The sequence below is a fragment of the Homo sapiens genome, chromosome 6 (assembly GCF_000001405.40).
Source record: "Homo sapiens chromosome 6, GRCh38.p14 Primary Assembly".
Lineage (NCBI taxonomy): Eukaryota > Metazoa > Chordata > Mammalia > Primates > Hominidae > Homo > Homo sapiens.
This window is the reverse complement of record NC_000006.12, coordinates 160598150-160611076: the sequence shown is the minus strand read 5'-3', so window position 1 is coordinate 160611076 and position 12927 is coordinate 160598150. Positions and strand designations below refer to the sequence as shown.

At 41.7% G+C, this 12927-nt stretch overlaps 1 protein-coding gene across 1 annotated transcript in view, besides 1 other annotated feature; it reads left to right on the top strand.

The window, feature by feature from the left end:
- LPA (lipoprotein(a)) overlaps positions 1-12927 on the top strand; it is a 132794-nt gene that overhangs the window by 53199 nt on the left and 66668 nt on the right. Inside the window, exons 17-20 of the mRNA NM_005577.4 lie at positions 4419-4600; positions 5872-6031; positions 9979-10160; positions 11418-11577. Of these exons, the coding sequence (NP_005568.2) occupies positions 4419-4600; positions 5872-6031; positions 9979-10160; positions 11418-11577 (684 nt within the window). The remainder of the gene's footprint in view (positions 1-4418; positions 4601-5871; positions 6032-9978; positions 10161-11417; positions 11578-12927) is intronic.
- Positions 4918-6117: an enhancer, noted in NCBI's record as "CDK7 strongly-dependent group 2 enhancer chr6:161025992-161027191 (GRCh37/hg19 assembly coordinates)". NCBI's record gives its function as "activates an origin of replication core promoter dependent on BRD2, BRD4, P300/CBP, MED14 and CDK7 cofactors, with strong dependence on CDK7, by STARR-seq in HCT116 cells {active_cell/tissue: HCT116}" and the evidence as "EXISTENCE:reporter gene assay evidence [ECO:0000049][PMID:35650434]".

Below are 12927 nucleotides of genomic sequence, written 5' to 3'. Positions count from 1 at the left end.
TAAGTACCAGTGGCCTGAAAGGATAGAGGTTCCCAGCAAGAGAAGATCCAAGGAAGGAAGGCAGATGAGAGTCAGCACAGAGAGGGATGCTGAAAAGTAAAAGGGATGGGTAGATGGATAGAAGCCCTGGTCTGACCACCCCATGGCCAATCATTTGGCCATAATCAACAACCAAAGACATGGAAAAATGGTTTCTACATGTGGGACAACAGATGGTAGAGGACCTAGAGAATTGAGAGAGGGCCAATGATGAGCTCAACTCCATAGATGCCTTGGCTTTCTTCCTGGATACCCTTCCTGCACTGAATAGCAAGGAGATGGAGCTCAAGCAGCCTGTAGCCATCTAGCTGAGCAGAGGAGAGGGATTGGAGTTTGGGATGACTCTGGTATTTTCTAGGTCCGCTACAAATAAGAACTGGTTTGTGGAGGAAAGGAGCTCTACAAATACGCATAGAAGTCTCCTCCAGTAGTTGGCCTCACATGACACTGCATGTGCACAGAAAATGGTTCTACAGAAAGTGTGGCAAAGAACATTTACTGAGAAACAGCAACTACAAGAGAACAGCAAGCTCAATTAAGAAGATAGAGATCACATAGCACTCTGTGTTATTGGAGTTCTTACCAGCTAGATGAGAGAGTGCTCACGGAACACATTGCCAATTCAGTGGAGACCCCAGAACAGCCATAATTTCAAAGTACAATTAGTATATTACTAGAATAAAGGCAGCTGCAGACAACCCCTTGCACAGCTGAAAAGCAAGTGTCCAAGCATCAAATGGGTTTCCAATCAATGAAGTGCCTGTGAGAGGAAATCTCAACTCTCTTCAGAAGTAAACAACAAAGTCAATTGCCTCAGCTATGCGGTATCCCCAGAGTGAGTCCTAAATTAAAAATTTGACTACGTGTAGAAAAGAATTTCGTGTGATCCATGACCAGAAAATAAATCAGGCAATACAAACAGGCTCAGAAATGACATCGATAATTAGAATTGCATGAAAATTTGACATATCAGTATGATAACTGATTTCAGATATTTAAAAAAAGTGCAACAAAGCAGGTATCATATCAAGACAAATTAATAGTATAGAATAGCCAAATCAAATTAAAGAACTATTATACAAAAAGTATGTCTTAAATGAAGAAATTACTGTATGTCCGCCTGAAAAATTTAGATGTTTCAGAAGAAAAAATTAACCAAAAACAATTCTGCAGAACCTACAGAATGAGCCACACACACACACATTCAAAACACACCCATACACACACACATGCAAAAACTCACAAGTTCTAACACACACACAAACACACACACACATGCACATCCCTAAAGAAATAGGGAAATATAAAATTAACCGACCCTCAGAGACATGCAGGAAAATATAAGAAGATTTCCTGCATGTGGGAAGCAAGTCACAGTAAAGAGCAAGGGAGTTTGGAGTAGATACAAATACCGGAATCACGGATGGCTGATAACTTTTCAATTATGAAGAACGTTAGAAAAATCACAGATTCATGAAACTAAAGGGATCAAATAGGAAATTTCGAGAAAAAAAACTACATGATGCACTTCTCTACATCACAGTTCAAAGGTAACAAGGCAAGGATATAAGAAGAAGAAACATCTCACGAGAAACTGGAGAAAAAAGAGCTGTGTCTTCCTAGAGTACAGTGATACAAATTGCTAATGCGTTCACCTCAGAAACACTGGAAGCCAGATACCAGGGAATATTATTAAAATGATAATGAGGAACAAGAAGAGATCAACCGAGAATGCTGAATCCAGCAATAAAATGCCTTGAAGATCATCCATGTTGGATAAATGCATATTGTGCACTGCCCAAAACAAAGAAACTGGAAAGTGTAAGACTTTGGAATCAGCAGGCTTATGTAGCAACAGAGGTGACCCGAAAGAATTAGGTATAAGAAGAATAGAAGAATTGCATGAAAATTTGACATATGACTAAGATAACTATTTCAAATATTTAAAAAAAGATGAATATGTAATAAAACAGATAAAATATCAAAAGAAAGTAACAGTATTGACTAGCCAAATCAAATTAAAGACTTAGTGTAAAAAGCTATGTCTTAAAAGAAAAAATTACTGGATGGCTGCCTGATCAATTTAGACATTTCTGAATAGGAAACTAACCAAAAATCAATTCTACAGAACCAACTACACACATATATACACATACAACACACCCATACACACCCACGCAAAAACTCACAAGTTCACACACACACACACACACACACAACCCTCAAGAAATAGTGAAATAGAAAACCAACCGAACCTCACAGACATGTTGCAAAATAGGAAAAGATTTCCTGCATATGGGAAGCAAGTCACAGAAAAGAGAACGGGAGATTGGAAACAGAAACAAATACCGGAATCAAGGATGGCCGAAAACTTTTCATTGATCAAGAATATTAACAAAATCGCAAAAACACGAAATTCAATGCATCAAATAGGCGTTTCGAAAAAAAGAAAAAATCTGGTATGATGCACTTTTGTACTTCACATTTTCACGGTAAGAAGACAAAGATATAATAACAAGAAACTTCTTATGAGAAACTGGGGAAAAACAAGCTGTTTCTTGCTAGAAGAACAGTGATACAAATTGCTAATGCATTCTCGTCAAAAACACTGGAAGCCAGATACCGGGAATGTTATTAATGTGGTAAACAGGAACAAGAAGAGATCAACCAAGAATGCTAAATCCAGCAATAAAATGCCTTGAAGATCATCCATGCTGCATAAATGTATGTTGTGCACTGCCCCAAACAAAGAAACCGGAAACTGTAAGAATTTGGAATCAGCAGGCTGATGTAACAAGAGAGGTGACCCAAAGGAATTAGGTAGAAGAAGAATAGTACAAGAAGGGAACTTTCTGCAGCCCATGTAATGAAGAACCCAGCAATTGGCAAATGTAGATGTAAATGCAAAATATTTTCTTGACCAAATTTCTATATATTTTTAAATGAGCGTTGACTACTGGAAACAAAATGATAGCAATATATTTAATTTTAGCATATGTAGAGGTAAGAATTTGAACAAGTAGCGTAAATCATGTAGGGAATAATTAGAAGTGTACCATTGTAAGTTTCTTACCTCATGCACAATGGTATGTAATATTAATAAAATGTTACTGTGTGGGTTCAAGGAGATATTGCAAATCCTAGAGCAATCACAAAGTTTTGAACTCTGAGGTATATTGTATAATAAGAATATTCCATGTATTCAAAAGAGAGAAGCCAAGGAAGAAAGAAATTTGTCACGAGTTTGGGCTCTTAGTACATCCTGTAGCTCATTGAACCAGCTTCCTGGAATGGAGGGTCTGGGATTGACACTAGGCCACATGTATAGAGTCTCTAGAGAGACAGTGTTTCATCCCCATGGCCCGTAATACATTTCCCATTTTCTCAGGCAGCCACAGGTCATGAATGTGAGGATAGAGAGAGGTTGGAGCAACGTTCTTGGGAGGCATAAGGAAGAGCAAATGCTTCAAGATCCCCGCAGCCCAAACTCCTACCTGCTTTGCCCCCTAATGCAGTGTTCCTCCGTAGCTGTCCGACCTCTTCAGATCTCTTAGTCTACCCTGCCATCTTCCTTTATGCCATGGGTCCCACTGTTCTTTCAACTCATCCCCCTTTCCCTCAGTGCAGAGTAGCTGCGGCCAGCAGAGGGTAGACTGAGAGCAGGAGAGAAGGTCCTGCCCAGGAACCCATTCTAGAGATGCTGCATTCTGCCTGGGAGCAAGTTTTCCAGGGCAGCTTTGAGAAGTCTTGCAGAAACAAACCTATTTGACCCACATGATATGGGAATGACAGAAAGTAATACAATTTGCACAGTGCTTTTCCATGGGAAAAGTAGAGCCTTTTCGCGAGGTTTTGAGTACATAGAGAGTGAAGGTTGACCTGGAAAGGTTATCCTCCTGGATCCCATGTTTTTTCTGAAGAACTACCTGTTAGTTGCAACTTGCACATTAGAATATGAAGTCCTACCGAGAGAGATACGGAGAACTAGATAAATACAGATACTTTTGTATGTGAATAAACGATTCCACAATACACACATCAAAATCCATACCAGTTATTCCAGAGAGATGGATTGGGCAGAAGGCAGAAGGAGAATACTCTGATCGTTTTTTGCCCACGTGTATGTATTATCTCAGTGTTTCTAAGAAGCGTTTGCTACTTTAGATTTTTTTTTATAATAATAATCTTTTAAGTATGAGAAATGTGCAGACAGGATTAGTGATTGAGAGCCATTTGTGCTTGTGGCAATCATATGGTACTTTTATGGGAATATTAGAAAGGCACTGGTAATGACCTTGTTGCAGCACAAAGGAGAGGGTGTGGGGTGCCCCTGCATATTGTCCCACCTCTTGTGACGTGTATCGTTTTGGAATTTCCAGTGGCTTGATCATGAACTACTGCAGGAATCCAGATCCTGTGGCAGCCCCTTATTGTTATACGAGGGATCCCAGTGTCAGGTGGGAGTACTGCAACCTGACACAATGCTCAGACGCAGAAGGGACTGCCGTCGCGCCTCCAACTATTACCCCGATTCCAAGCCTAGAGGCTCCTTCTGAACAAGGTAAGGAGCCTGTGGCCAGAAACCTACACGTTTCGATGCTGGGATGAAAAGCCATGGAAATTCCCACTGATGCAGCAGCCTCCAATGGTAAACGGATGCTCGAGTGTTGACTGAGTTCTGTCATGTAGGAGGAAGCCTCCGTGCACTCTCTGGGGGAGCCAGCGGATTGATTTCTGGTACAACGTTGGGTGGGCTGTGTCTTTAGAATTGGCACAAACCCTCCAGGGTGATCGACTTCACAACTCACCTCGTTGAAAAATGGGCTATCTCAGTGTCTTAGCCAAAATTTTTATTGTAACATGCTGTCAGATGTGTGACTCTTTCCAAGCCAGTAAGCTTTTCCTGGGACTTCTTCAATTAGCCAGCATTCAGTGCAATCTTCAGCATTGCAGATTCAGAGAAATGTGGCTCTGGAGCCTGTCACCCTTGAGAAACAGGGCTAACAGGGTTGCATTAATTCCAAATCACCCTGGTTCTATGGAGCAGTACATGAACTCCCAATGATCTATGTTTCAGGACTTCCTCAGTCATAGGTGGGCTCTGCAGCCCTAGGTTTTTAAGTGAGTGACTGCCCCGTGTTCTGGTGGCAGTTGTACCTGTGAGCGGTCTGGATAGAAAGAGTCGGAGACTTCTGTATTATTGCAACTCAGGATGTGGGTCATGAGAGGATTTCATCTCTCCTGCAGGGGAGTAAGCTGTTCGCCTCCACCCATCCCTGATAACTGAAGTGTCTTTGTCTGCAGTCCTAGACGAAGGACTGTTGTCTCTCCCATGGCCCAGAAGCTGAAGACCTTGCCTTTTGTTATGAAACGTTCATTGTTTTCATGTCTGTCCGTTTCTCTGCCCCTAACACCCAATCACCATGTATGGCCTGTACCCCCAAATGCATCGTGCTTTGCTGTTTGCTGCCCCATAGTCCTCATGAACATTCAGTAGAAATTCCCATAAATGTGCTTGCACGTGAGCACAGTTTCCATTGAGAAGCCCTCTCATTTGTCCTTTTTTTCTAAGCTTTTATGTGAAATATTTCTAAGAACTTACTACAGTTCTAAAGTGTTAGGAATTTGTTTCTTTGGTGTTTTTGTTTGTTGGTTGGTTGTTGCTTTTCTCAAGTCCATCTGCCTACAAATAAAGAAACAAGAATGTTACTTGTCATATTCTCCTGAGGTCATAATTCTCAGAGACTTTTTTCTGGTTTGTGCCATAAGTGGCTTCACATGTTTGTCTCTTCTTGGAAACACTCAGTTTGATTTCTTTTCTTTTCATTTCAGCACCAACTGAGCAAAGGCCTGGGGTGCAGGAGTGCTACCACGGAAATGGACAGAGTTATCAAGGCACATACTTCATTACTGTCACAGGAAGAACCTGCCAAGCTTGGTCATCTATGACACCACACTCGCATAGTCGGACCCCAGCATACTACCCAAATGCGTATGTCTATTTTCTTTACCATAAGTGAAGGAAGGGTCAGTGGAAATTTCTGTTAGTAGAGTCATGCTTCAAGCTGAGTGTTCAGGACTCAAGTTGTCTCAGATGAACAGTGCATAGCAAAATGTCTCAGGAACATTGTCTTTGAGCAAAGAGTCTAAGAGAAGACAAATGTTAATCTGGCTCTCCTTCCTCCTAGTTTAATGGAGCAGAAAGGTATCTGGAGGCAAGGATATCACATTAAGAAACAAGTCAAGATGACAAATGATGAAACTCTTAGAGTACCCTTCCACAACACCCACTAAGGTTCAATGCAGCCTTTTCTCCTTGGAATTCTATTAAACTAAACTCCAATTCCTGAAGTGAAGGTTCTGTTGGGGTTTTCTGTTTTGGCTTACAAGGAAAGTATATATGTATATCTATGGAGAGGCAAATCTATCTCTTTCTATATCTACGTCTATTCCAATATGTAGAAACACAGTCGGTTCTGACCACCAGTGGTCTGAAGGGATACTGGTTGTTAGAGAATAAAAATGGCAGGAAGGCAGATGAGAGTCAGCAAAGAGAGAGATCCTGTAAAGTAAAAGGGTGGATAGATGGACAGAAGCCCAGGTCTGACCAGCCCATGGCCAGGCTTTAGGCCATAAGTGACACCAAAGACATGGAAAAATGGTTTCTACATGTTGGACAACAGACAGTAGTGGACCAAAAGAATAGTGACAGGGGGAACAATGAGATCAACTCCATAGATACCTTGGCTTTCTTCCTGGAGGCCCTTCTTGCACTGAAGAGCAAGGTGATGGAGCCCAGATGGACTGTAGCCATCTTCCTGAATGCAGGAGAGAGATTGGAATTTGGGACTACTGTGGTAGCTAGGATTTTATAGGCCTGCTGAGAATGAGAATGGATTTGTGGATGAAAGGAGCTCCAGGGGCACGCATAGTAGTCTCCTCGAATCTTTGGCTAAACATGACGTTGCATGTGCCCAGAAAAAGGTTCCACAAGAAAGTAGAGAAAAGAATATATCCTGAGGAATAGCAACTGCGATTGAACAGTGAGCTCAATAAAGAGGACAGAGCCCTCATAGCATTCTGGGATACTGGAGTTCTGACCAGCTGGAGGAGAGACCTCACTGAACCTCTTGGGAATACAGTAGAGACTCCAGAAAAGTCATACTTTAGGAGTAGAATTAGTAAATTTCTAGAAAAAAAGGCAGCTCTAGACAAACCCTGGCAAAACTGAAAAGCAAGTCTCCAAGCATTAAAATCATTTCCAAGTCAATTAACTGCCTGGGAGAGGAAAACCCTCTTTAGAGGTAAACAACAAAGTCAAGTGGCTCAGCTATGTGGTGTTCACAGTGTGAGTTCTAAATTTAAAACTTGACTACACATAGAGAAGCTTTTAGTATGAACCATGACCAGGTGAAAAATCAGTCAATACAAATAGACCTAGAAATGACAGAAATGATTAGAATGGCAAAAAATTTGACATATCAATATGTCAACTGAGTTTTAGGTTTTAAGAAAACATGAATACGGAATGAAGCAGATACCATATCAAGAGACAGTAACAGTATAGAAGAGCCAAATTAAATTAAAGAACTAGTATAAGAAGGTATGTCTTAAATGAAAAAATTACTGGATGTATTCCCAATGGAGTGAGATGTTTCAGAAGTAAAAACTAACTGAAAAACAATTTTATACCACCTACAGAACCAGCTACACATACACAAATGACACACACATATACACACATACTCACACATGCACAGGCTTAGAAACATGCACGCACACACACACACACACACACACACACCTCCACAAATACTAAAAAATGAAATCCACTGATCCTCACAGACAGGCGGGAAAATATAAAAAGATTTCCTGCATGTGGGTAGGAAGTCACAGAAGGAGAGGAAGGAGAGATTGCTACAGGAACAAATACTGGAAGCAAGGATAGCTAAAAACTTTTCAAATAAGAAGAATATTAAAAACCACAGATTCAAGAAGCTGAATGAATCAGACAGGGAATTTCCAAAAAAAAAAAAAAAAAAACTGTATGATTCACTTTTGTACATCACCGTTCAACAGTCAGAAGGCAAAGATATAATAACAAGAAACATCTCATGAGAAACTGGAGGAAAAAGAGCTGTGTCTTGCTAGAAGAACAGTGATACAAATTGCTAATGCATTCTCATCAGAAACACTGGAACCCAGTTAACAGGGGATATCATTAAAATGATAAACTAGAAAAAAAAGAGATCAAATGAGAATGCTACATCCAGCAATAAAATGCCTTGAAGATCATCCATGTTGGATAAATGCATATTGTGCACTGCCCCAAATAAATAAACCAAAAACTAATAATTTGGAATCAGCAGGCTTGTGTAACAAGAGATGTTGCCCAAAGAAAATTAGCTAGAAGAAGAATAGTTCAAGAGGAGAACTTTCTGCAGCCCACGTAATGAAGAACCCAGCAAATGGCAAATGTAGATGTAAATGCAAAATATTTTCTTGATCAAATTTCTATATCTTTTTAAATGAGAGTTGACTACTTGAAGCAAAATGATAGCAATATATTTAACTTTAGCATATGTAGAGGTAAAAATTTGAACATATAGACTAAATCATGTGGGGAATAATTGGAAGTGTACCATTGTAAGTTTCTTACCTTATCCACGATGGTATGTAATATTAATGAAAGGTTGAATTTGTGGGTCCAAAGGGATATTGTAAATCCTAAAGCAATCATAAAATTTTGAATTCTGAGGGATATTATATAATAAGAATTTTCCATGTATCCAAAAGAGGGAAGCCAAGGAAGAAAAAGAAGTCTTTCAAGTACTCAAGCTCTGAGCACATCCAGTTGCTCATTGAACCAGCTTCCTGGAATGGAGGGTCTGGGCTTGAGACTAGGTCACATGTGTAGAGTCTCTAGAGAGACAGTGTTGGATCCCCATGGCCCATAATACATTTCCCGTTTTCCCAGGCAGCCACAGGTCACGAATGGGAGGATTCTGAGAGGTTGGAGCAATGTTCTTAGGAGGCATAAGGAGGAGTGAATGCTCTGAGATTTCCCCAGCCTGAGGTCCTCCATAGCTGCCCGACCTCTTCAGACCTCATAGTCTGCCCAGCTGTCTCCCTTTATGCCATGAGTGCCACTGTTCTTTCAACTCATCCCCCATTCCCTCAGTCCCGGAATTGCTGTGGCCAGCAGAGGATGGACTGAGAGCAGGAGAGGAAGTCCTGACCAGGAACCCATCCTAGAGATACTGCATCCTGCCTGAAAGCTAGGTTTCCAGGGCAGCTTTGAGAAGTCTTGCAGAAAGAAACCCACTTGACCCACCTGATACGGTATCGACAGACAGGAATACTTTTTGTGCAATGGTTTTACATGCTGAACATAGAGCCTTTTGGCTACATTTTGAGTACATTGAATGAGACTGCTGGCCTGGGAAGGATATCATGCTGGATGCCATTTTTTTCTCTGGAGAACTATGTGTTAGTTCCAACTCGCACATTACTATATGAAGTCCTACACAGAGAGATACGGAGAGCTAGACAGATAGAGATACTTTTGTATGTGCATAACCAATTCCACAATACACACGTCAAAATCCATACCAGTTATTCCAGAGAGATGGATTGGGCAGAAGGCAGAAGGAGGATATTCTGATCCCTTTTTGGCCACATGTATGTATAATCTCAGTGTTTCTAGGAAGTGTGTGCTGCATTAGATTTTTTTTCTTTAAAAAAAGTGATAATATATTAAGTATGAGAAATGTGCAGAGAGGATTAGAGATTGAGAGCCATTTGTCATTGTGGCAATTGTATGGTATCTCTTTTGGGAATATTTCAAAGGCACCAGTAATGACCTTGTTGTAGCAAAATATACAGTGTTCCTGCATATGTACCCATTTTTTGTGATGTGTATTCTTTTGGAATTTCCAGTGGCTTGATCAAGAACTACTGCCGAAATCCAGATCCTGTGGCAGCCCCTTGGTGTTATACAACAGATCCCAGTGTCAGGTGGGAGTACTGCAACCTGACACGATGCTCAGATGCAGAATGGACTGCCTTCGTCCCTCCGAATGTTATTCTGGCTCCAAGCCTAGAGGCTTTTTTTGAACAAGGTAAGAAGTTGTGCCAGACATTTACCTGCTTGGATGCTGGGATGAAAAGCCATGGATACCCCCACTGACGCACAACCCTTCAGTGCTACACTGGTTCTCGTGTGTTGGTTCTGGGTCTGCCATGTGGGAGGAAGCCTTAGCGCACTCTCTGGGGGAGCCAGAGGTGTGATTTTTGGTGCAACCTGTGCGAGCTGTGTCTTTAGGATGGGCGGAAACCATTCTGGGTGCTCGACTTCACCACTCCCCTCATTGTAAAAGGGGCTATCTCATTGTCCTAGACAAAATTCTTATTGTAATATGCTGTCAGATGTGTGTGTCTTTCCAAGCCAGTAAACTTTTCCAGGGATTTCTTCAAGTAGACAGCATTCAGTGCAATCTTCAGCATTGCAGATTCCGAGAAATGTGGCTCTAGATCCTGTTATCCTTGAGAAACCTAACTGGGTTGCATTAATTCCATATCTCCCTGGGTCTGTGGAGTAGTACATGAGCTCCCGAAGCTCTATCTCTCAGGTCTTTTTCAGTCCGAGGCAGGTTGTGCAGTTCTTAGCTTTGAAGGGAGTGATTTTTTCGTGTGCTTTTGCCTCTTTCTGATGGAACTTGTACCTGCGGGGGGTCTGGAGAAAAAGAGTAGTAGACTTTTGCTTTATTGCAATGCATTATGCTGGGCACGAGAGGATTCCCTATCTTATTGTAGGTGATAAGCTTTTGGCCTCCACTCATCCCTGAGAAGTGAAGTGTTGTTGCCTACAGTTTTAGCTGCAGGACTGTTGTCTGCCCCATCACCAGGAGTTTAATGCTTTCTTTTTTGAGCAATCATCTAGGGACACATGCAAGGTTTTTATATGTCCTTGCCTCCTCCCCAAAAAACCATTTTAATGCTTGGAGACTTGCTTTTCAGCTTTGCCAAATGCATCACCCTTTCTTCTATGCTGTTCCATGTCGTCATGAACACTCTGTAGAGATTCCTAGAAATGAGCTTCCATGTTAGTGGAGTTTCCGATGAGAAGCAATCTGATATTTCTTTTCCACTAAGTTTTACATGAAATATTTCTAAGAACTTACTACAGTTCTAGAATGGTAGGCATCTCTTACTTTCGTGTTTGTTTGTGTGTTTTCTCATGTCCATTTGCCTATTAATAAAGAATAGAGAATGGTTGTAAATCTCAGTGACTCTTTTTTGGTTTATGTCATAAATGGCTTCCTGTATTTTTCTGTTCTAGGAAATAATAAGCTTGATGTCTTCTGTTTTAATTTCAGCACTGACTGAGGAAACCCCCGGGGTACAGGACTGCTACTACCATTATGGACAGAGTTACCGAGGCACATACTCCACCACTGTCACAGGAAGAACTTGCCAAGCTTGGTCATCTATGACACCACACCAGCATAGTCGGACCCCAGAAAACTACCCAAATGCGTACGTCTTTGTTCTTTACCATAAGCGAAGGAAGGGCCAATGGAAGTTTCTGTTAGAAGAGTCATGCTTCAAGGTGACTGCTCAGGACTCAACTTGGCTCAGATGCAGAGGAACATTTCCTGTGAGCAAAAGTTCTTAGAGAAGACTTTGTTTTTTTGAGACAGAGTCTTGCTTTGTTGCCCAGGCTGGAGTGCAGTGGCATGATCTCGGCTCACTGCAAGCTCCGCCTCCCGGGTTCACACCATTCTCCTGCTTCAGCCTCTCTAGCAGCTGGGACTACAGGCACCCACCACCACACCCGGCTAATTTTTTGTATTTTTAGTAGAGACAGGGTTTCACTGTTCTAGCCAGGATGGTCTTGGTCTCCTGACCTCGTGATCCGCCTGCCTCAGCCTCCCAAAGTGCTGGGATTACAGGCGTGAGCCACCGTGCCTGGCTGAGAAGACATTTTTTAAGCTGGCTCTCCTTCCTCCTAGTTTTATGGAAGCAGAAGGATATATGGAGTTGAGAAGATCTTATTAATAAAACAGCCGGGATGACAAATGACCAAAGAGTTAGAGTATCCTTCTACAACATCGGCTGAGGGTTAATACAACCTTTTCACCTTGGAATTCTATCATTCTAAGCTCTAGTCCCTGAAGTGAATGTTGTGTTGGCCTTTTGCATCTTGGGTCACAGGGAATTGATACTTGCACATCTATGGAGAGGCAAATCTTTTTCTATCTACTTCTTTTTCAATGGGTACAAACACACTTGGTCCTGAGCACCAGTGGTCTGAAGAGATACGGTCTGCCCAGAGGAGAAGAACAAAGGCAGGAAAGCAGATGAGAGTCAGCAAAGGGGCGATGCTGAAAAGTAAAAGGGGCGGGTAGATGGACAGAAGCCATGATCTGGCCATTCTATGGCCAGTCTTTCGGCCATAAGTGACTACCAAAGACACGGCAAAACGGTTTCCACATGTTGAACAACAGATGCTAGAGGACCAAGAGTATTGCAAGAGGGAGAAAATGAGATCAACCCATCAATGCCTTGGCTTTCTTCAAGGAGACCCTTCCTGCACTGAAGAGCAAGGAGATGGAGCCCAAGCTGACTGTAGCCATGTTGCTGAACAGAGGAGAGTGATTGGACTTTGGGATTACTCAGGTAGTTAGGATTTTCTAGCCATGCTAAGAGTAAGAATGGACTTGTGGAGGATAGGAGCTCCAGGCATAGAAGTCTCCTCAAGTGTTAGTCTAAACATAAAGCAGCACTTGCATAGAAGATTTTCCACAAGAAAATATGGCAAAAAAACACCATATATTGAGGAACAACAACTACAAGGGAACAGTGAGCTTAATAAAGGTGACAGAG